This window comes from Homo sapiens, chromosome 15, assembly GCF_000001405.40.
Source record: "Homo sapiens chromosome 15, GRCh38.p14 Primary Assembly".
Classification (NCBI taxonomy): Eukaryota; Metazoa; Chordata; class Mammalia; order Primates; family Hominidae; genus Homo; species Homo sapiens.
The window spans coordinates 29,552,739-29,577,863 of NC_000015.10; the positions used below are offsets into that span (position 1 = coordinate 29,552,739).

The 25,125-nt window shown below is 46.4% G+C and overlaps 1 protein-coding gene across 7 annotated transcripts in view; it reads right to left on the reverse strand.

Moving 5' to 3' along the window:
- Positions 1 to 25,125, reverse strand: part of ENTREP2 (endosomal transmembrane epsin interactor 2) — a 557,698-nt gene that overhangs the window by 435,027 nt on the left and 97,546 nt on the right. For 4 of the 7 annotated variants that reach the window (XM_047432323.1, NM_001387214.1, NM_015307.2 and 1 more), the window contains exon 1: positions 17,767 to 18,241. The exons of the other annotated variants lie outside the window; for them this stretch is intronic. In XM_047432323.1, the coding sequence (XP_047288279.1) occupies positions 17,767 to 17,985 (219 nt within the window). In that variant the 5' untranslated portion in view covers positions 17,986 to 18,241. Of the gene's footprint in view, positions 1 to 17,766; positions 18,242 to 25,125 lie in introns of those variants that run through there. 7 annotated transcript variants of the gene reach the window in all.

The window sequence follows — 25,125 nt, forward strand, 5'->3', positions numbered from 1 at the left end:
AATCCAATTTTTAAATTATTAGAAAGAATTAGAATAGTTAGCAAGTTGACTGTTTGCAGAATTTTAAAGTACCTTTTTCCTATAAACAAGCAAAACCATTGAGAAAACAGCTGAAAAGACCCCACTCACAGTAACTCCTGAAAAGAACGGCACATCTGAACTAGATGTGGGCAGAACCTACATGAAGAAAACTGGAAAGTTCTCCAATGAGGCAAAAAGGAGAAATTAAAAGTAGCACCATGTGCTTGGATTGGAATGTTTCATACTGTAAACTTGGCCGGGTGTGGTGGCTCACGCCTGTAATCCCAACACTTTGGGAGGCCAAGGCGGGCAGATCGTTTGAGGCCAGGAGTTCAAGACCAGCCTAGCCAGCATGGCGAAACCCCGTCTCTACTAAAAATACAAAAATTAGCCACTTATGGTGGCACATGCCTGTAATCCCAGCTGCTTGGGAGGCTGAGGCATGAAAATTGCTTGAACCCAGGAGGCAGAGGTTGCAGTGAGCTGAGATCGCACCACTGTACTCCAGCCTGGGCAACAGAGCAAGACTCTGTCAAAAACAAAAACAAAAACAAAAAAACCTGTAAAGTTGTTAATTCTCCCTAAATCAATTCATAAATTTACTGCAAACCAATTAAAATACCAGGAGGATTTGGGAACTTACTTTGGAACTCAGCAAAATGATACTAATAGTAATCTGAAAAAAAATACACGAGAATTACCAGGTGTGGCTGTTTGTATTTTCCACATGCTTTTCTGCAGTGTGACCCTTGTCTTCCTCCCATCAAGAGGTAGGGCCTATGTCCCCTCCCCTTAAATGCTGGCAGGTCTGTGACTGCTTCAGCCAACTGAGTACAGAGGAAATGGCCCCATGAGACTTGTGAGCCTAGGCTGGAAAAAGCAAGCAGTTTCCACCTAGTGTTCTTGGGATACTAGCTCTGGGGGAAGCAGCCATCATGTAGGAAGTCCAACTACCCTGAGACCACAGTGCTGGAGGAGCTACAAGTATACACGTGGCTGAGGCCCCAGCTGCCAGCAGGCCACAACTGCCAGCCATGTGAGTGGGACGTCTGGGATGTCCCACCCTGTCGAGTCCTCAGATGAGTTACAACCCCAGCTGATATCCAACACAATCACATGAGACCTCAAGCAAGAATCACCCAGCAGAGCCGTTCCAAATTCCTCACCAACAAGATTATAAACAAAATAAAACACCTGTTTTAAACTGCTAAGTTTGAGGATAACTTGTGATGTTACAACAGTAACTGGAATTCCATTTAAAAGGAAGGAAGGGGGCCGTGCACGGTGGCTCATGCCTGTGATCCCAGCACTTTGGGAGACCGAGGCGGGCAGATCACAAGGTCAGGAGTTTGAGACCAGCCTGATCAACATGTTGAAACCCCGTCTCTACTAAAAATACAAAAGTTAGCTGCGTGTGGTGGCGCGTTGCCTGTAATCCCAGGTACTCAGGAGGCTGAGGCAAGAGAATTGCTTGAACCCAGGAGGCAGAAGGTTGCAGTGAGCCGAGATCACACCACTGCACTCCAGCCTGGGCGACAGAGCGAGACTCCGTCTCAAAAAAAAAAAAAAGGAAGGAAGGAAGTGAGGAAGGTAAGGAAGGAAGGAAAGGATGGAGGGAGGAAGGGAGGGAGAGAGGGAGGAAAGGAGGGAAGGAAGGAAAGAAAGGGGAGGGAAGGGGGAAGGAGAGCCGAAGGGGATTGGCCCTATCACATTTAACAACATAATGAATCAAAATCCATTCATAAATTCATTGAACAAATATTGAAGATCTACAGGTCCACCACAAGCTAGGCATTAGAGAGACACTGTGTTGTGCAAAATCTTTGTCTTTATGGGATTTAGATTTTAGTGAAAAAGAAATTTCAGATAGTATTAAGTGTGCTGAAGGAAAATAAAAATCAGGATAAGAGAAAGTGCTGCTTAAAATAGAGTGCTCAGAGAGGCCTCTTGGAGGAGGTGGCTGTGGCGCTGAGCCAGGGAAGGGCCCGGGTATTCTCACCTACTGCTGTGGGGTTTTGCAAACGGTTCAGCCTGTCCTTGGGGCAATTTGAAAAATCTATTTCCATCTAAAAGGCATGGACCTCTTGACCTAGAAACCTCTTGGCTAGGAAATTACCCCATGAACATTCTTACACACGTTAGCAATACTTCCAAGTATGTTATGACAAAAATGAGATACACAAAAATGTCAGCTCAATGGGAGCTTATTAAATAAATTACATTATAGTCATTCAATAGAGCACCATAAGACTTTTTAAAAATTACATGAGCTATATCCACTGACAAACAGCTACATGAGACACTGTTAGGTGACAATAAGAAAGGCTGGAACTGTGTGCACAGTATCTCCTCTTCTGACTCACAGAGAGAGAAGGAACCGGGGAAGAGGGAAGGATACTCATCTATGATCTGGAAGAAATCCCCCTTTCCTCGGGGAACACCTCTGGGGAGAGGAGAGAGATTTGGGTTTTTCATTTGGTACCTCTCCGTAGCACCTGAATTTTCTAACAAGATGCTGTACAACTTTTACTTTTGTCCTTTCAATGCCCGCTAGGGTTACCTGGACCATGAGTCAGTGTTTGACAGCTTCTCCCCAAAGAAAGAATTGGGGCTACTAGACCGGACAAGGTTGGTTTTCTCTTTTGGTACTCTGTATTTCCAAAAATAACTGAATGGTATTTTTTTAAATAAAATAATTTGAAAGAATAAAGCCCTATAACAACAAAGTATTAAACTGTTAAAATATTTTCATTCTATTGTAATTATAAGAAAGCCTGCATGGTCCCACTGCAGCAGCCACCATGACGAGCAGCACTCTCTGTAAATGCAGCCCTTCCACGCTGCTCAGGGTGACCCACCCCAGTGAGCTGGCTATTTGCATATTCCCAGATCCCCCACCTGCGCCAGGCAGGCATATGCTAGATCAGCTCAGAACTAGAAAAGATGGGCACCAGGAAGAAAGGCACCAAGCCCTCCCTAACTCCCCTCTGAGAGTTGCATCCTTCTTTCCTACCTCTTTCCTTTTTACAGAGCCCACTGTGCTCTGGGTCCCCCATGACCTGGGGGTCAGAGTCAGACACACTCCTGTGCACAAATGGAACCATTCGTTCTTCACCACCACCTGTGCCCACACCCCTGTCAAAGCTCCCCCGCACCCACCTCTGAATCTCCCGCATGGGTAGGACAGCTTCTTCCCGAAGAAGGGGAATTCCTGGCCAGGCACGGTGCTCACGCTTGTAATCCCAACACTTTGAAAGGCCAAGGCAGGTGGGTCGCTTGAGCCCAGGAGTTTGAGACCAGTCTGGGCAACATAACGAGACCTCCTCTCTACAAAAATTAAAATTAAAAAATTAGCCGGGAGTGGTGGCATGCCAGTAGCCCCAGCTACTTGGGAGACTGAGGTGGGAGGATCGTTTGAGCCCATGAGGTTGAGGCTGCAGTGAGCCGTGATCCTGCCACTGCACTCCAGCCTGGGCTGTAGAGAGAGACCCTGTTGGAAGGATCTCTCCGACAGTTATCTCCTGGATAACTGCAATGGGTCAAGTGACAACTTTCTCTAGCTCTCCTAAGCCACAGTGCAGTACGGTTTGGAAACAGCAATAAGAGTCAATCCCCCTTTTCACAAATGATCAAATGAGGCTCAGAGAGATTAAAGAATTAGGCAGTCATTCTTCACAAGGAAGGAAGGGAGGGAGGGAGGAAAATTTCTTGTGAAATTCCCAAGGAACAGAGAACATTTTTAAATGTTTCCTTACTCATTAGTTAACTCAGTATTTTCATGCCCAAAAAATGTCAACAACCAGTTTTGCCAAGAATAATAAAAACAGATACTGACTCTGAGCCTTTCTTGCAAGATCTCTCAGGGTACACACCCGGCTGACTCCCGCACATTTCTGTCTCTCCTGCCTTCTCAAATCTCGCTGTCTCCATCAGTGTCTCTTCTTCCATGCAAGGCTCTGTCCTCTGAAGTTCTCTCTCCCCTGGCTTCAGCCCCATGCAGGTGCCCCCCCCCCGCCCCACATGTGGATTCAGTTCCCCACCTGTGGTCCCCATGATTGTTCTACTCCAACTCCGGCTCTCATCACCCACCGCCAGTGTGACTGGGGCACAATGTGACTGGGTGCAGGATGGGGCAGCCACCTCAGGCCCCAGAGCGCTCCATCCCATGGCCAAAGGGGTGGATATTCCGCCCTGAAACACCTGGGAGTGCATAATGCTCAAGGTATTCCTTCTTCGAAGCTGATAAGTTTGTCTATGAGCAAATAATCCACTAGTTCCTCTGCAAGGGGACTGCCTGACTTAGAAAGAACACAGATGTAAAAGATTAGTCTTTCTCAAACACTGCCGGTCATGTGTCAGATATCTAGAACAGCCCCTCACCAGCAAACCTGGCTGGCCCCAGCCCTGTCTCAGGCCCTTGTGTTAATGCTGGGTCTCTGGCCCAGGCTCCCCTCCCTGCCTGATGAGTTCCCACTGTGCTTTCAAGGGCTCTTTCAGGTGAAGAGACTTAGATCAATACCACCTTAGGTGACCCGAACTTTGACTCTCCCTCAGGGAGCAGCGACGGGGTTTTAGTGTCTTCTCTCTGACAGCCCAAAGCGCAGATGCCAGCTGCTCCACCTCATTCCCAGGGACGAGCTCCACAGTTGAGGATCCCAGGGAGCAGAGCAGGGGTTGAGATGCAAACAATTCTGATCACAGGCCCCTCTCTCCACCCTCCCCAAAAGTGCCACCTGCTGCATCTACATAATTCTGAGAGCCCATTCAAGAGACCGCTGCTGGAACCAAGAAGCTAGTTATCTGGATGATGTGGGTCCCCATCGGAGACACGGGAGGGGAGAAGTGGTGGGACTGCTTCATACCCACACCCACTTCATGTTTGCCCTAGCAGGCACTGTGTAGCACTCATCTGGGGCCAAAAAGGAATAAATGACAACTTGTTTACAGAAACTGTGTTGTAAAAATACCTAGTGGGACCTTGTTTCACCACCTGGATCTTTAGGGAGGTGCCCGTTCTCCCCTTCGAGCTCAGCCTGCCCTTACCAAGTTCCTCTGTTTCCCCTCACTGGGAACTCTCAGGAATTGTCCCCCAACATTATTCCCAGAAACCTGTGCCAACCGCTCATGCCTATCTTGGAGCATCACACTATCAGATACCTGGATAACTGCAATGGGTAAAGTGACAATTTTCTCTAGCTCTCCTAAACCACAGTGCAATATGGTTTGGAAACAGCAATAAGTCAATCCCCCTTTTCACAAATGATCAAATGAGGCTCAGAGAGGTTAAGGAATTAGGCAGTCATTCTTCAATCATTCTACAAACTTTTCTTCAACACCCACCTGTGCCAGCGGATACCTGCCCCTCATAAAATACTCCCCTCCCCAGAGATCTGGGGGTGGGGTTTCTTGCTCCTGGAAACAAGGGAAAAAGGAGAGAAAGAGGTGTGAGGGCACTCAGAGAGGAGCAGCCTGTCATCATGTGAACACTGCCCACGCTGCCTAGCAGGCCTCTGAAGCCACCCCACGGGAGAATGGCTCTGCTGTTTCCCACGCCTGGGGTCTCCCTCTCCCACTCCAGCATCCTAGCCCACCAGGTAGGATGAGTGATGCTACATGGACTTCCAAACATGCTTAATCTCTGCAGACCATGGCACAGGCCCGAAGCTGGCCCGCAGCACCCAGGCTCAGTACATGCCCGCCCTCTTCACGACCTCCCAGACCAGCCCGGCCGGTCACCCATCTTCTGCACACATCCCTCCCCAACCTCCCCTCAAACCCTTCACCCAGGTGGGGCTTCCCAGGCAATCTCCAATCTACGGCTGACCCTGAAAAACCCAGGTTTGAATTGTATAGGTGCATTTATACATGGATTTTTTTCAGTCAAAGTTACACCAAGTGTGCCAGCCTCTCCTGACTCCCTCTGCAGTTGAAAATCCACCTCCTCCACCTCTTCCTTCTCTGCCACCCTGACACAGCAAAACTAAGTCCTCCTCTTCCTCCTCCTCCTCAGCCCACTCAGTGGGAAGACGACAAAGATGAAGATCTTTATGATGATCCACCTCCACTTAATGAATAGTAAATACATTTTCTCTTCCCTATGATTTTCTTAATGATATTTTCTTTCCTCCAGCTTACTTTATGGTAAGAATACAGCATATAACGCATATACAAAAGATGTATTAATCATCTATTTACATTTCCAGTCAATATGAGGCTATTAGTAGTTACGTTTTGGAGGAGTCAAAAGTTACACGTGGATTTTCAACTGCAGAGGGAGTCAGTGCCCCTAACCGTGTACTGTTCAAGGGTCAGCTGTACAAAATGAGGACAAGACGTAGTACCCATTCCCCAGGGTTTACTGCTAGGCTTAAATAAGTTGATATGAAACACTGTTAGAATCGCGTCTGGCAAAAAAAGTAAGCACTCATTAGTTCTTGTGATCGATCCAGTTACAGTTTCACATACAGATGACTGTACCCACCCACCAGCACTCACCAGAGGGGGCCCTTGGATCTAAACAGTGTGGAAGCCACGCCTGTTCCCCTCACCTCACACAGGCCTGTGTGCAAGGTGACTGAGCCCCCCTGGATTTCTGACTAATCATCTTTGGACCACCAGCAGGTAAACAACTCTCCCCTCCTGTGTCCCCAGAATGCCTCAGCAGCATTAGTTTCCTATTGCTGCTGTAACAAATTGCCACAAACCTGGTGACTTATAGCAACACACAGCTATCATCCTACATTCTGGAGGTCAGAGGTGCAAATCAGTCTCACTGGGCTAAATTCAAGGGGTCACAAGCCTCGATCCTCCTGGGGGCTCCAGGAGAGAATCTGCTTCCCTGCCTTTCCGGGCTTCCAGAGGCCACCTGCCTTCATTGGCTCATAACTCTCTTCCTCACATCATTCCAGTCACTGCGTTCATCATCCCACCTCCTACTACTGACTCAGATCTTCTGTCTCCCTCTCAGGAGGACCCCTGTGATTACACAGGGCCTGCCTACATAATCCAGGATAGTCTCCCTCTCTCAAGATCCTTAACCGAATCACATCCGCAAAGTCCCTTTTTGCCATGTGAGACACAGATTCACAGCTTCTAGGGATTAGGATGTGGACTTCTCTGGGGGACCACAGTTCCATCTACCACATTGACCTAACCCATATTCAACCTACCCAGCTTTGCTAGCTCTTAGACGTTGGGTTAGTCCCAATACCTGGTCCACAAAACTGGAACTGAATATGACATTTCACATTTGCATCATAAAGATTCTCCGGATGCTGTGTGAAGGGGAAATTGAGAGGACAAGAGCAGAAGTGGAGAAGCCACTTACGGGGCTACCAGAATAATCTGGGTAAGAGAGACACAGCAGGCAGAAGTCTGTATTTTTGAAGAAGAATCAGTAGGATGACAAGAGGCTACGTTAGGAAGGACCACTGGTGTCTGGTTGGAGGAACTGGGTGAATGGTGGTTCCACTCCTTGAAAACAGAGCAGAAGACACTTATTTGGAGGGGAAATGAGCAACTTGGTTGGGGATATCCTGAATTTTAAGTGTCTATGACTTGTCCAAGTGCAGATGTAAAGTCAGCAATAGGGTATGTCAAGAGGAGAGAGGTAACAGCTTCAAATGCAGAGACCTGTGTGAGTGACAGAAGTGTCCAGTGGGGCAGAGAGAGAGAAGCCTGGGCCCAGGAATGTCCTCCTGCTGACCAGCTGCAGTGAAGCTCCGCTGGCCCCATCTCTCAGTGTCAGCCCTGCCCTTGCTGTGTCCACTGCCAGGGTGTCCCTTGCAGGGGCACTCACTGCACAGTCATCATTCCCAGGGAGCATGGCCACTTCACCTTGCTGCTCCGCCACACCTCTGTTTTGGGCGGCCCTGAGGATGCTCTGAGACTGGGCTACAGTCTCCACAGGTTCCAGCTATGGATGTCTGCCCCACAGCCTCATCTAGGGAGGTCTGTTTGCCCACCATTGAGGGCCCTGTGGCAGCACCTGGCTCTTCCCTCTCTGCTATGTTCAACATGTCCCACAGCAACATGGAAATTAGCAAATGTCTTTATTCCACACACTGTCCATGGGAAATTTCAGACCCAATCTTGTAGACCAGAGGTCAACAAACTATGATCCCTAGGCCAAATCTGGCCTGCTGCTTTTGCAAACAAAGTTATACTGGAACACAGTTATACCCATTCATTTATAAATGGTCTATGGTTGCCTCCACACAATGATGGCAGGGTTGAGTAGTTGCCACATCACTAATCATCAGGGAAATGCAAGTCTAAACCACAATGAGATATCATCTCACACCTGTTACAATGGCTATTCTCACAATGACAAAAGACAGCAAGTGTTGGCAAAGATACGGAGAAAGGGGAACAATTTCTCTGCTGGTGGGAAGGTAAGTTAGTACAGCCATTACGGAAAACAGCATGAAAGCTCCTTTAAAACTTAAAAATAGAACTATCCCATGTAGCAATTCCACCTTTGGGTATATATCCAAAGGAAATGAAACCAGTATGAATGAAGAAATATCTGCACCCCCATGTTCTAAAATGAATTCATAAATCCATACATATATACATACATACATAGGAGAGAATGGAAAAGCTCTTCCTACAGTAGAATAACAATTAATAAATGTAGAAGGAATGGGCCGGGTGTGGTGGCTCACGCCTGTAATCCCCGCACTTTGGGAGGCTGAGGCAGGCCGATCACGAGGTCAGGAGATCGAGACCATCTTGGCTAACACGGTGAAACCCCATCTCTACTAAAAATACAAAAGAATTAGCCAGGCATGGTGGCGGGTGCCTATAGTCCCAGCTACTCGGGAGGCTGAGGCAGGAGAATGGCGTGAACCCAGCAGGCAGAGCTTGCAGTGAGCCGAGACTACGCCACTGCGCTCCAGCCTGGGCAACAGAGCGAGACTCCATCTCAAAATTATAATAATAATAATAATAAAATAAATAAATAAATAAATGTACAAGGAACGGAAATATAAAATTATGACTTGGCAATCATCGTAGAGGAGGCTGGTTTGGGTGGCAATCATCAACGGATGTGAAGTTGAAAGAGAGAGGTTTGACCAGAAACAGGATATTGGCATAATCTGAGACTTCCTTACACAAATTATAATTAAAGGGGAAATGGTGAATTTAAAATGATAACACCTGGAGGACAGCAATAATGTTAGGTGATCAAGGTGAATATCGCCAATGGTGAGAAGGGCTGACATCAACGCCTCCTGATGCGATGCACTGAGAAAAGCATGGCATCAACTTTGGGATTGTCCTGCCAAGAATGCATGAGCCAAGTCTGCCCATGAGGATAATCAGATGGATCCAGGTTCAGGGTCATCCTACAGAATGCAAGGCCTGTGCCCTTCAAAACTGTGGAAAACGTGAAACAGAGAGGAAGGCTGAGGAGAGTGAAGACACACAAGGAATGCTCATGTTCCTGGGTAGGACCCTGGGCCAGAGAGGAAAAAGAAACACTACTTGGTCAGGTGATGAAATTGGAATGGGGTCTACAGATTGGATAACAATGTTCTTCCAATGTTGTTTTCCTAATTTGGAGAGGTTTATGATGAGTACATAAAGAGCATCCATGAGTGGTGAGAATATACACTGAGTTTTTTAGGGGTGAAGCAACATCATGTCCACAGCTTTCTCCCAAAACACTGAGAAAAAGACTAATGATAATTGAGAATTTTTTTACCTTGAGAAAGACAATGTGCACAAGCTCAAGCCATGGGGTAAATGCAATAACATGTTTACAATTCGGGAATTTAAGAGAAGAGACACAGGAATTCTTGGTTCTGTTCTGTAACTTTTCTATAAGTTAGAAATTATTTCAAAAAATTTCCAGAAAACAATATTAAGACAGAGTTTCATTGTTTATTAGCATAGAATTTGGCTATGAGCATTCCAGTGTACTATATCTTCAAATGACTAGGACTTTTTACCCGATGCCCAAGGGAGGGTTCTGTCTATGTGTGTGTGTTGTTGTTGGTTTTTTTTGGTGTTTTTGTTTTGTATTTGTTTTTGTTTTTGTTTTTGAGATAGGATTTCTCGCTGTCACCCAGACTGGAGTGCAGTGGTGCAATCGAAGCTCACTGTGGCCTCAACCTCCCAGACTCAGGTGATCCTCCCACCTCAGCCTCCCAAGTAGGTGGAACTACAGCTGTGTGCCACCATGCCCAGCTAATTTTTTGTATTTTCAGTAGAAACAGGGTTTTGCCACGTTGTCCAGGCTGGTCTTCAACTCCTGGCTCATGTGATCCACCTGCGTCAGCCTCCCAAAGTGCTGAGATTACAGGTGTGAGCCACCACGCCCTGTCAAGTTTTTCTCCTTATCTTTAAAATCCATTATTTTACAGGGAAACATGTCAATGCTGACTATTCTACATTGATTTTTCCCAGTTACACAATGTAACCTTTCAAATCTTATTTTAGGAAGGTTTTCTTGCATTATAGTTCTAAATATTTATGCTATTCTATTGCTTTGTTTTTCTGTCCCTGGACACTAATTATACATATATTGAACCTCCTTTGCCTGTGTCCTACATTCCTTTAATTCACTATATCACCTTCTTTTTTTTATTATTTTTCTCCTTTTCACCCTCTATTTTTATTTCTGTGCTTCCTAAGAATATCTATTTGCTCCCATGTTCCTTCTAATTAAGTCTTCATTTTTGAAACTCATTTTTCCAAATTCTTTTCTGACATCTCTCTGTTCTCCTTTCATAATTTCCTGTCATCTAGCCATATCTTTTGTAGTTTTTACAATTTCTGATTCAGGATGGGAGCAGTGGCTCGTGCCTATAATCCCAGCACTTTGGGAGGCCAAGGCTGGTGGACCACCTGAGGTCAGCAGTTGAAGATCGGCCTGCTAACATGGCAAAACCACGTCTCTACTAAAAATACAAAAATTAGCTGGGTGTGGTGGAAAGCACCTGTAATCCCAGCTACTCAGGAGGCTGAGGCTGAGGCAGGAGAATCGCTTGAACCCGGGAGGCTGAGGATGTAGTGAGCCAAGATTGCTTCATTGCACTCCAGCCTGAGCAACACAGCGAGACTCTGCCTCAAAAATAAAAATAAATAAATAAATAAATAAGTAAAATAAAGTTTCTGATTCATACTACTCTTAGGAAACTTTATTTTCTTTTAGCTTATATTGAAATATTAATTTATAATTTTTCTGGTGTGCTCTCATTTTCAGTAGTACCATTATGTTCATTTTCATCATGTTTTCACTGAATAAATGTTGCATGAGGCTGGATCGTATTCCTTTTTTGTTGTCCATGATTAAATGAGGTGGATTTTCCTGATCTATTAGGAGGAAGTTCCCAATAGATCAGGAAAGTTCCTAATAAAGGGATGGACTAGGATACCTTTCCCATTTGGCTCTACTGATCTGTGAAAGACTCAAAATAGGAATTCTCCAGGTACCCACTTGTTTCCCAGCATCAAGTCCAGAACCTTTGTAAAGCTCAGAAAGATCTCTTGCCTCTAGTCCTTTGCTCCAGCTCTAGAACTTTGAAGTCCTTCTTTTCCAAGGCTATATGCTCTCAGCTTTTGATGTTATCTTTCACTGTTAAAGCAGTTTTTGAGATCTTTTTCCTTGGGGGTCCCCTTCCATATCTCCACCATCTGAACCTATTTTCTCTCGCCATCTGTCTTCTGCTTAACTTGGTGTATGTTTCCAGTAATTTCTGCTCAAGGTGAGGTGCTTAGAAGGGAGGACTTACTGTACGTTTCTAAGATTCTCCAAGGCCTCTGCCACCACATCGACGCTGATTCTCCCAGGTCCACACACAGTTAGTTGCTCTCACCTGTTGCCAGAAGCCTGGGAGCCCCTTTCCAGTTTTGCCAGTTGCTCTCAGGTCTGCCCACCAGACTTCCATCCTACTTTAAAGGGTGAGCAGCTCATGGTAGTTTTTGGGTTCCACCACCTGTCAATAGTTTCTTTCATTTCCCATCACTCCCCTGAGGCCACTGCGGCTCTTCTCCAGGTCCTTCTGATGCTGGTGGTTTGGCCAAACCCACCCAGTCCTGGGAATAAAGGAGTGGGGAGAGAGTCCCCAACACTTTTGTTGACATATCCTCTTTGAGCTTTATCTATGGCTGTCTTGCTGATTGGTTTAGCTTCCAGGAAGAGTTCAGGGGAGACTGAAAAACTACTTTGCCACCATGAATACATCCCCATAAAACATGTTCTGAAGGGCATAAAACAAGGAACAAAGAAATGAAGAGACATACTCTGTTTCTGAATTGGAAGATTTAATATGATAAAACTGTCAGTACTCCCAAAATTGATGCACTATATTAAAAGTTTTAAAGTTTTCTATCTGGCAAGACATCAAAAATTAAGCAAAATGAGAAAATATTTGCAACACATAATAAAGTATCCATGGAAATTCAGATCCAATGAAATATCTTTCTGCTTCTATGAAATTAATAAAAATGCTCAGCCTTGCTAATATCCCACGCTGCAAGAGGACAGAAAAAGGGGCACACACTGTAGGCTTCTGTGGGTGGATGTGCCTACATTCTTTTGTGAAAATTAATCCAGAAATAGCTAACAAAACTCCCAATTTGAATACTCATCAGCTAGCAATTCCACTTTGGGGAATCTATCCTCAAAAAAAAAAAAAGCAGTGGCATCTCAGGCTGGATAAGCAGCACTGTTTGTAGACACATAGAACTGGTAGAGATTATTCCCAGCAGGAGAATAACTGAATAACTTGTAATAATTCATACTTTGGACTACTCCACAGCCATTAAAGATAATGTGTTAAAAAATAATAATAATGAGTTATGGCTGGGAATATTCGTTATACATTAAATTTTTAAAAGAAGTTACAGAGTAATATGGGTGGTATAATGTCATTTTTGTAAATTGTTTTTAAAAAGAAAAGAAACATTTTCCGGCCGGGTGCGGTGGCTCACGCCTGTAATCTCAGCACTTTGGGAGGCTGAGGCAGGCGGATCACGAGGTCAGGAGATAGAGACCATCCTGGCTAACACGGGGAAACCCCATCTCTACTAAAAATACAAAATTAGCAGGGTGTGGTGGCGGGCGCCTGTAGTCCCAGCTACTCGGGAGGCTGAGGCAGGAGAATGGCATGAACCCGGGAGGCGGAGTTTGCAGTGAGCCGAGATCACGCCACTGCACTCCAGCCTGGGCGATAGAGCAAGGCTCTGTCTCAAAAAAAAAAAGAAAGAAAAGAAACATTTTCCATACATATATATACAAATTCTAATACATTTTATGATTGTAAAGGGAAGCATGGAAGGATTGCATTAAACAACACTGGTAATGTTGGTGGTCTATGGGTAGAGAATTGGGGTAGGCGAAAGCTATACATTGTTTGTGTGTATGTGTGTGTATATATATTTTTTGTTTGTTTGTTTGTTTGTTTTCTGAGACAGAGTCTTACTCCATCGCCCAGGCTGGAGTGCAGTGGCGCGATCTCACTCACTGCAAGCTCCGCCTCCTGGGTTCACGCCATTCTCCTGCCTCAGCCTCCAGAGCAGCTGGAACTACAGGCACCTGCCACCACGCCCAGCTAGTTTTTTGTATTGTTTTTTTTAGTAGAGACAGGATTCCACCATGTTGGCCAGGATGGTCTCGATCTCCTGACCTCGTGATCCACCTGCCTCGGCCTCCCAAAGTGATGGGATTACAGGCGTGACCCACCGCACCCAACCTATTTTTTTTGAGATGGAGTTTCACTCTTGTCCCCCAGGCTGGAGTGCAGTGGAGTGATCTTGGCTCACTGCAACCTCCGCCTCCTGGGCTCAAGCAATTCTCCTGCCTCAGCCTCCCAAGTACCTGGGATTACAGGTGCCCACCATCACACCTGACTATTTTTTGTATTTTTAGTAGAGACAGGGTTTCGCCATGTGGGCCAGGCTGGTCTCCAACTCCTGACTTCCAGTGGTCCGCCCGCCTCAGTCTCCCAAAGTGTTGGGATTACAGGCATGAGCCAACCATGCCCAGTCACTTTTTTATCTTCAGTTATTTTTACTTTTTATATATTAATTTCAGAGTATGAAAAAAATCCAGTGGAGTTGCTTTTTAAAGGAAAAATACACACACACACACACACACACACACACACAGAGTCAGCTTCCAATGGCTACGTCTTTACCAACATATGTAACTGGTAATGTGGATAACTCACAATGTAGCTGTTTGTCCCTGAGTTCTGGGCATTAATAAAATCTCCAAGAAAAATAACAAACTACTCTATTAAAGGATAACTATTCAAGACCTCCATCCAGCTCTCTTAGTCTTCTAAACTATGAACACAGCTCATTACCTCTCAAAATGGGCAGGACATCTATCCACAAGGGAACTGATCCACCTGCTGACTCACTGGCTGGCACAGCCCGGCACAGGAAAACCACCTGCAGGGGGTCCTCAAACAATGGAAACTGCACAGCTCTGTATTCATCACAGACCTCCGGCCAGGCCTGACACCCACCCCTGTCTCCAACCTTGCCGAGTCCTCCCCTTTCAACCTTAAACTTCTTCAACTTGGTCCAGTGGAATGGCTCCTTAAATTTCTCTTGTATCTTCACCTTTCCAGGCATGTTTTATGCTTTTCCTAAGAAAGAGAGAGCCTCCTTGCTAAAGTGGACCCCTTTACCAGCATGCTTTATTTCATCCCCTTCTGCCTAATCGTTAGCAGGAGTTTGGCCTCTAAAAAGTCAGAGCAACTAAGTTCAAAGCTACTTCATAGCTGAGTGACCTTGGGTAAGTCACTCATCCCTCTTCCCCTTAGTTTACTCAGCAGAAGCACCAAGATTTCTTGAGGCTTTGGCTTGGAACAGAGTCAGGCTCAGTTCTGCTGTGTTCCAATGGCTAAGGCAAATCAGAGGCCCAGTCCAAACTCAGGGAGAGGGAACCACACAAAACCCTGAGCACCAGCAGGCAGAGGCCACCAGAGTAACAGGCTATTACACACACAATAAGTAAGTGCTCACTAAGCATGGGCTGTCTGTCTTAGCTAATAATTTTGTTTCTTAAATCCAGGAGAGTTGTTTCTACAATGGGTTTTCACCATGTGCAAACCACAGAGAGGGCCTAGAAAGCCATATGTTGCTAAAGAGCACATAGGTCTCATTTTAGAAGATTTAGAGAAACCAGAGGGCAGCCCTAAGCCCCACAGTATGGATTTCTTTATGAAGCCAGCCCAGCCATCCCAGCTGCCATTCTTAAATGACGAACAACCTTGGCAAGGCAGTTGCACCAATCTCAGAGGGCAGGCATATATATGGCAATGGGTCAGTGTTCCCCACTCACAACCATGTTAACATGCAAACCTGTCTCAACACAGCAGGAACCAATCATCATTTCTGCAAAGTGTTGTAGACAACAGATGAAAAATGGTATACACTGTACCGTACTGAAAGAACTTTCAAGGTGCTTGCAGCAAAGTAAGTTTGAAGACAGAAAATAAGCCCATGAAAAAACAGACAGGAGGGTGGGAGATGGAGGACTCAGGACAGAAGTCATCTTATAATCTCCAAAATGTAAGCAGAGTGTGCTGTGTTCATTGTTGATCCCCAGACCCTAGAGTAATGTCCATACATAGGAGAACTGTGTGGAATTGCTCAGAATCATAGGAAGCTAGAACTAACAGGTTATAGGTCGGGCACAGTGGCTCAAGCTTGTAATCTCAGTGCTTTGGGAGGCTGAGGCAGGAGCATCCCTTGAGATAAGGAGTTTGAGTTTGAATCCAGCCTGGGCAACATAACGAGACCCCATCTCTTAAAAAAAAAATGTTTTTAGTATTAGCCAGGCATGGTGGTACACACCTGTAGTCCTAGCTACTTGCAAGGCAGAGGCAGGAGGATCGCTTCAGCCCAGCAGTTCCAGGCTGCCGTGAGCTATGATAGTGTCACTGCACTCCAGCCTGGGCAAAAGAGCGAGATCCTGCCTCTTAAGGCAAAAAAAAAAAAAAAAAAAAAAAAAGAATAGGTTAGAGCTGTTGAAGAGAATAACACTGCAAAAGCAAACTGAATTAACTGTTTTACACATTTATTTAACTCTTTAAACTAAAATGTAGGGGATGATGTGCATTTTTCACATAAATAAGCTTTTCTACTGTGTCCAATTAATGTTTTCCCCTTTAGGTTTATTATTAAAAGGCAGTTCTCTCTCCACACCCTTGGGAACCCAAGGCTAAACCAGGAAGGGCGGGCTCAGGGAGGAGCCAGGAAGTGGAGCTAATTCACCAGTCTGCCACCTGTAGGCTGGTTCCAGCAGACTTAAACCTCAGTGCCCGCTAGACAGACATGAAAACAATGCATATTAAATAATGGTAAAAACTGAGCAATAGATGTGTGAAAACTATATAGAGAGGGGCATTTAAATCATGGCTCCCGTGTGCTTGCCTCCAACCTCCTCTCTTTTCTTTGAATACTCCCAGCTATGACCACACAGTCTGTTGTTCCTATTCAGCTCTCCAAGGCTCACCCTTGATCTAAAATACGCTTCGAAAATTAATACTCCCATTAGGATGAACAACCACACCTGTATCGATCGAGGTGTTCCAGAGGCAATTTTGCTCAGATCTTATGGTAAAAGCCATGCAATGAACTTAAAAAACAAAGACCATTATGAAATAAACAAATAAGCAAAGCTGGACGAATTTTTCAAATTTTAAAACTCAAGAACAAATAGCAAACATTAGTTTTAAAGGATTGGTTTGGATTTCTGTAGATGGAAGTAAAACATACTGAGTTTACAAGCCTATGCGATGTATTTCAGCACGATCCACCAAATGCAGTTACAGATGTCAAGAGTTCTCAGAACAAGTGCCTCTCTTCATAAATATCTGCTCTGCATATATATCTCTCCCATTCCCATAACGTCCATTCTTTGTTAATATAGGAAAAAAACCGACTTTCATCAAAATGCTACAAAACGCCAAAAATTAACTCTTGGGGACAGTCACTTTAATCGAGACGTCTTTCTTCTATGGAGATTTGTTCACCACTGGCTTCTCTGATTTGGTGGTTAAGAGTCTGAAAATCGGTCATCCTTAAGGTCTGGAGCTCAGAAAGCACGCCGCCCCCCCTTGCCTGCCCCCTGCCCCAGGACGCCGGATGCGGGTCGCCTGCCCAGTCCCGTCGCCCACAAACCACGCCGTTCTGGGCGGACGCGGGAAACCAGAAGTCCCCGAAGCCAAGTCAGCGAGCGACCACAGGGGCCGCCCGGCCGATCCCCGATATCCGGGCTGACCCAAAACCCGACGGGAGGCGCCCCTCCCCCGCCCCCCCACCCCACCCCCCACCCCCACCGCCCCCGGTCAGGGCCGCCGCGAGGGTGAGAGGCGCGCCCACATGCTGCTCCGCTCCGGGTTCGGCTCCCACCTCCTCGCCTCGGCCGCGGCCGCTCGGATGGCGAGGTCGTGTCCCCGGCGCGCGCGGTCCCCGGCGCTCCCTCCGGCCGCTGCGGGCTCGGAGGACGGCGGGCGCCTGGCTGCTGTTTCCTCCAAGAAAAGTAACTCCGGGAATCAGCGCAATAGGAGCGGGAACGCGATGCTCCGAGAGCGGCGAGCCGGGCCCTGGAGTTATTCTGCTCGGAGTTTCGAACTGCGCCCCGCGCTGCAGCTACTCGGCCCCGGCGTTGGCCGCCGGAACTTGCCGCCCGCGGTGGCGTCCCGGCGGCCGCAGCGCCTAGCCCCCCCGGCCCGCGCAGTCCCCGGAGCCCGTCCCCGCCTGGTCGCGGACACTCACCGAGAAGCCTGCCCAGAAGGGGCAGGAGTGGCGGACGCGGGCCGAGGTGGTGAGCGCCAGCGCGGCGAAGCTGACTGCCACGATGAGGCATCCGAGCGCCATCTGCGTGGCCCCGAGCGCCAGCACGATGCGGGAGCGGCCCGGGCACTCGCGCAGGCGGGACAGGCTGCGGGGCAGCGCGGCGGGACGCGGCGCTCGGGGGCCGCCGGCCGGAGGCATCGCGCCGGGCGCCCGCACGCCTCGCCCGCTCCCGCCCGGCCCGGCGCGCGCCGCCGCCTCTCCTCACAGAGGGTCCGAGGCAAGTTGCGCCGGGTGCAGGGACGGCCTCCCAGCCGGCTGCCAGGGCTGCGGCGGCCGCGCGCCGGGAGCGGGCCGGGCCGGGCGGGGAGCCGGGCGCCCGCAGCCCCCGCCGGTGCCCGCGCCCATGCCGCCGCCGCCGCGCCGCCCGCCCGCCGGCCGCGCCGCGCTGCGCCCTCCCCCGCCCGCCCCGCGCGCTCCCCGGCCCGAGCGCGGGCGCGAGCCGCCGCCGCTGCTGCCGTACCGGGCGCGAGCCGCTGCCGTCCCCGGGCGCGAGCCCCGCCGCCGTGCGCTGGGCCCCAGCTGGGGCGGGAGCGGGAGCCGGGACCCGGGAGCCGGGAGAGGGGCGGGGAAGGCGCAGGTGCGGTCCTGGCGTCCCAGCCTCCGCGCTCACGCCTCGCGCCCTGGCGGCTGCAGGTCTGCGGAAGGAGAGCGGGGGCGGCAGCGCATCAAGGGCAACGGCATCAGCCTCCGCGGCGGAGCCCTGGGTCGGCTGCGCGGAGGGGCCCGATAGCGGCAGCGGGCCAGCCGAGCCTTCAGAGCCTGGGGACGGCTCGGGATGGGCGCGCGGGGCGCTGAGGACGGGGAGACGGGCTGGGAGCAGACAGGAGGGAAATTCCGAGCGCTGGGCCGCAGGTGTGGCGAACAGGAGCCTCTTGAATGCAAAAATCCAAGATCCAAGATGCTGCTTTTCTGCAGTTCGAGAATCTCCCAAGCCATCCGCTGAGAGAACTCAGCTCTGGAGGACATTCCGAGAACATTGCCAGGACACACACGATGTCCCTTACCCACCTTTGGTTTGCATGCTTTTGATACAAGTTAAAAGTTTGGGCTTTAAAAAAAAATTGCACAAAACGAATTTAAATGCGCAATATCATTAATAACCGATTAAACCATCTCCACTCCCTCTTGCCAACATAGAGTTTAAAATATCTAAGTACTGGCTCCCTTGGAATACCGGGAAATCCTGCAAGTTTTGATTGCCATAATTCCTTTGTGGCCCTGTTGATGAGCCAACTTTAAGACTCTGCTTGTGTTGAAAAGGGCTGCATTGACAGATTAAGAGATCACCAGCGTTAGGGAGTCTGAAGGGACCAGACGTGAAAAGGCAAAGTTCAGAGTAATAAAGGGAAACGGCCGGTCATTTCCTGAGACCATTCTTCCGTGTCTTTCTAGCAGACCTTACTGTTGGATGAGAAACGCTAGAGAGTGTAGTCCCAAAATATCTCGGTTGCTGGTGCTTGAAATTTCACCGTTAGAGATATTGATTCCTTTGGGGCTTGACGATCCTCTATTAAAATGCAAATTCCCCTTGAAGGGGCTATAGCTCAAGCCTTTATCAGCCAACACTTTAGCAGGGATGGGATTTATTTTCCAATTTAACGAGATGGCCAAGGGATGAACAGGGGGTAGGGAATTCCACAGATAGAGTGACTGATCTCAAAATGCTGGCCCGTGGCCAAACGCTGCCTTCTCCCCCAGTTCTTATCTTTAACAGGACTAAGCCTCTGGCCGGCATTGTTTAAAGCACTCCAGTACAAATTCCAATTTCCTGGAGACATTTTCTGCCTAGAAGTTCGCAGTGCAGCACTTTTTAAGAGCTTGAAACAATACAAGGCATGACCCTGGACTGGCAGGAAGTTATGTTCGCATTTGATCATCTCCCCCATTCATTCATTCATTCATTCATCCGTTCATTCATTCCTCCAACAAAAGTTCATAAAGAGCTCTCTAATCATAAGGCTTTTTTTTTTTTTACGTTCTTAGGGTACATCAGTGAACAAAACAGACAAAAATCCCTGCCTTTAAGGGATTCAGAGAGAAACACACAATAGCCTAACAAATTAGTGAATTACAGTTTATTGACATTGTATACTATTCAAAAAATAGTATACACCCACTATGTGCCAGGCACTGAAGATCGAAGAATGAGTTGCAAGCCCCCTGTACTCAGAGAACTTTCGGTCTAGTGGGAAGACTGGCGGCACACTGGGTTCAGTGTTATGGAGACTACACAGTGCCCCCCCAACCCCACCCCCACCAAAAAAAAGGAATCAGATGATAAGGAGATTTGAAAAGAGTTTTCTGACCACAATACCAAAAATGGGTTGAGGGGTGCCCAAGTGAAAGAGTGTTCAGAGGCTGTTACTGTCAGCTGGCAAGAGGTGATAGTGTTTTGGATTAAAGTGGGGTTAGTGGAGATGTCGAGAATTGGGTGTGTTTGGGAGATGTTTCGGAGGTGTCAGTGATGAATTAAACAGAAGGGGGAGCCAGTTGGTGACCTCCAGTGATCTCCCATTTATGAATGAGAGATGCTTCCAAAATATATGTGAATTGATTTGTTTTATTTATTTATTTAAGAAAGGTACGGAAAGAGAGCTCCAAGCAATACAGCAGGAGATTTTGGTGAAGGTGGGTTAGGAGAGGGATCTACTTTCGCTGTAAAATTTCGTTTGCATCCAAAGGGAGAGACTGATCTAGAAATTAAACTTACTTCACATTTCTATCAATGAAAAAGCAGTTTTGTTGATAAAATGAAAACTTTAGACAAATAAATTTAACAGAGTTTACTTAAACAATGAACAATTCATGAATAAGGCAGCCCTCAGAATCATAAGAGGTTCAGAGAACTCCACTCTGCCATGTGGGCAGTGAGTATGTATAGACAGAAAAAGATTGAAGAAAGTAGAAATGAGGAACAAAAAGCAGATTAGTTGTTTCAAAGTTACTTTCCCCATAATGGTTAAAACGGAACTTCCTTATCATGTCTGCTCAAACTGGCCTTTCTGGATATTTGTCTATTCTCTCTCTTCTTTCTCTCTCTCTCTTCTCTCTCTCTCCCCCCCTCTCTCTCTCCCTCTCTCTCTCTCTCTTTCTCTCTGTGTCTGTCTTTCCCCCACCCCTCTTCCTCTCCTTCTCCTGATTTCTCATAAAGTCAGCTAAACAACCGAGTTTCAGCTTGGTGGATTAGGACTTTAGCATGACTGACTCCATTTTAATTTGGTCTGTTGGTGGGAGCTCTGTCCAAATCAATGGCCTCCAAAAATTTTTATTTCATACTATGTTTTACAGAATTTTTTAATCCTGTTGTATTAAATGCAACAGCCAAAGTTACCTTGATGAACACTTGCAATTTGGAGATATAAATAGGGAGATAAAAGTAGTTAAAGTGAGTTGATTTCATGGGAGTGAATCATAAAGAAAGAAAGGAAAGAAGAATGAAAGGGAAGGGAGGAAAAGAACAGAAAGAAGGGAAGGAGAAAGGTAGGGAGAGAGGGTGCTGGCCTGAGCTTAGCCTCCCTGGCACTGATCACGACAACTCATTGACTCTCTTTGATCTTCAGTGTTTGTCTCTTGTAAAAGCATTATAATCATACATGTCCTAGTGTTACAGAAGATTCTTGGAGACCCCTGGAACCAAGTTATGGCTTTTATTCTCCCTGGATCAGATGGGACTAATAGACAAAACCATTGTTCTTTTGGGTTTTGTTTCTTTGTTTTTGTTTTTTTAAAGACAGAGTCTCAGTCTGTCATCAGGCTGGAGTGCAGTGGCATGATCTCAGCTCACTGCAACCTCCACCTCCTGAGTTCAAGCGATTCTCGTGCCTCAGCCTCCTGAGTAGCTGGGACTACAGGCGCACGCCCCCATGCCCAGCTCATTTTTGTATTTTTAGTAGAGACAAGGTTTCACCATGTTGGCCAGGATGGTCTAGATCGCTTGACTTTGTGATCCACCCACCTTGGCCTCCCGAAGTACTGGGAATTACAGATGTGAGCCACCACACCCGGCCAAGACCATTGTTCTTAAGCAAAGCATGACAAGGTGGCTGAGCTTCTTGCTGAAAGACAGGTTTCAGGGCTGCTTGCACCATGGGGAGACAAGGAACACTTACAAATGCCTCAGTCACCACATGCTTGTTTCAGATTCCTGCTCTTTTTGACCTGTACCTGTCCATACATAATGGATGAGAAAGAATCTAGACCCTTGGTAGCCTCTCTTACGCAGTAGAGAGTTGTGCTTGGATCTCACAATTTCTGCCTATGGAAGAGTAATAGGGGAGAAACTCTACTTCTAGGAATGTCAGACCAGCTACTTCTCCTACTAAAGACAACTTAGAAACCAGGGGGACTTTTTTTAAGTATCTCCTTAAAAGTATCAAAGATTATGGAGATAATGAGGGAACACCAAGCCTAGATGCAATAGGAGAAGGAATGCGGAGAGGTGTGTGCAGCACGTGGGCTGCCTTTCTAGCTCTGGCAGCTGCACACAGAATCAGAAAGATGAATTTGAGTTCAGGAGTCTCCAAAGGTGGGGACCCAGTAAACCAGTCCCCTGCCTTGTGACAGAACCCCAAATGGCTGCATCCCTGGAGCAGGAAATAAGTCAAACTTCCCTCTTTTTGCAGGTGCCCAGAAACCCCAATTCTGCATTGCACAAGCCCCTAGGAGCTGGCAAAACAATAGAAAATTCTCTCTAAAGAAAGATATTATCATTCTAGGCCTCCAATTATTTCTATGAATAGAATTTTTAAAACTCACTTTCCCTTAACTTCCTCAACACGATAAAGGACATTTATGAAAGACCCACCACTAACATCATAATCAATGGTGAGAGACTGAAAGCTTCTTCCCAAGATCAGGAATTTGACATGTGGTGAATGTCCACATTCACCACCACTGTTCAATATTTTATTGGAAGTTCAGCCAGAACAATTAGACAAGAAAAGGAAATAAAGGACATCCAAATTGTAAAGGAAGAAGCAAAACTATCTCTATTTGCAGGTGACATGATTTGATATATAGAAAATCTCAAAGAATTCACAAGAAAGCTACTAGAACTAATAAACAAATTCAGCAAAGTTACCAGGTACAAGATCAACACATAGAAGTTAGTTGTGTTTCTATACACCAATAATGAATAATCTGAAAAGGAAAACAATAAGACAATTATAATAATATCTAAAAGAATGAAATACCTGGGAATAAATTTAACCAAGGAAGTGAAGGCTTGTACACTGAAAACATTGCTCAAATAAATTAAATACCTAAATAAATGAAAAGACTTGCTATGTTCATGCATAGAAAGACAATATTAAGATGACAACACCCCAAATTCTCTACAGATTCAAAGCAATCCCTATCAAAACTCCAACAGCCCTTTTTGCAGAAATGGAAAAGCCAATCTTCAAAATCATATGGAATTCCAAGGGTCCCCAGATAGCCAAAGGGTCTTGAAAAAGAACAAAGTTGAAAGACTCATACTTCTAGATTTCAAAACTTACCACAAAGGTATAGTAATCTAAACAGCATGGTACTGGCATAAGAGTAGACATCTAGACCATTGGAATATAATTGAGGGTCCATAAATAAATCCATACATCTAAGGACAACTGATCTTTAACAAGGGTGCCAAGTTCATTCAATGGGAGAAAGAATAGTCTCTTCAACAGATGGTGCTGGGACAACTGGACTTGTACTTACAAAAGAAAGAAGTTGGACTCCAAGCTCATATCATAATCAAAAGTTAACTCAAAATGGACCTAAATAAAAGAGCAAAAACTATGGAAGTCTTAGAAGAAAACATAGGCATAAACCGTGACCTTGGCTCTGGCTGTAGATTCTTAGATATGACAAGAGAAGTATGAGCAATGAAAGAAAAAATAAACAAATTATACTTCATCAAAGTTAAACACTTTTGTACATCAAAGCACATTGTCAAGAAAGTGAAAAGACAAACTATAACATGGAAAGAAATATATGCAAAGCATTTATCTTGACCAGAGATATATGCCATGTATTCAGATTATGGATAGAACTACTCAAAACAAAATGACAACCCAATTTAAAAGTGGGAAAATGACTTGAATAGACATTTCTCCTAAGAAGATAAACGAGTGTCCTGTGAACACCTGAAAAGATGCTCATCACTCATCATTGGGGAAATGCAAATTAAAACCATAATGTGATGCCACTTCACACCCATCAGGATAGCTATATTATTAACTTGTTTTTGTTTTTGTTTTTGAGACGGAGTCTCGCTCTGTCACCCAGGCTGGAGTGCAGTGGCGTGATCTCGGCTCACTGCAAGCTCCGCCTCCCAGGTTCACACCATTCTCCTGCCTCAGCCTCCCGAGTAGCTGGGACTACAGGCGCCCGCCACCGCACCCGCTAATTTTTTTGTATTTTTAATGGAGATGGGGTTTCACCGTGTTAGCCAGGATGGTCTCGATCTCCTGACCTCATGATCTGCCCACCTCAGCCTCCCAAAGTGCTGGGATTACAGGTGTGAGCCACCAGACCTGGCCAGCTATATTATTTAAAAAAAAAAAGAAAGAAAGAAAGGAGCAAGTGTTGGTCAAGATATGGAGAAATTAGAACCCTTGTGCATTTCTGGTGGGAATGTAAAATGGTGCAGCCACTGTGGAAAATGGCATGGTGACCCCTCAAAAAAATCAAACAAATTCTACTTCTGGATAAATACCCAAATGAATTGAAAGCAGGGACTCAAAGAGGTGTGTGTGTGTGTGTGTGTGTGTGTGTGTGTGTGTGAGAGAGAGAAAGGGAACACGTGTGATAGGGTGTTACTCTGTCACCCAGGCTGGAGTGCAGTGGCACAAAGACGGCTCATTGCAGCCTGGACCTCCCAGACTCAGGCAATCCTCTCACCTCAGCCTCTCAGGTAGCTTGGACTACAGGTGCGCACCACCGTGCCTGACTAATTTTTGTATTTTTTGTAGAGATGGGGTTTTGCCGTGTTGCCCCAGTTGGTCTCAAACTCCTGAGCTCAAGCAATCCACCTGTCTTGGCCTCCTGAAGTGCTGGGATTACAGGCATAATACCCATGTTCATAGCATCATTATTCCAAAGGTGGAAGCAAACCAAGTGTCCATCCTTGGATGAATGGATAAACAAAATGTGGTCTGTACATACATTGGAATCTTATTCAGCCTTTATAAGGAAGGAAATTTTGACACATGCTACAACATGAACAAACCATGAACATTAGGCTAAGTGAAATAAGGCAGTCACAAAAGGATAAATATTGTTCAGATCCACCTTATG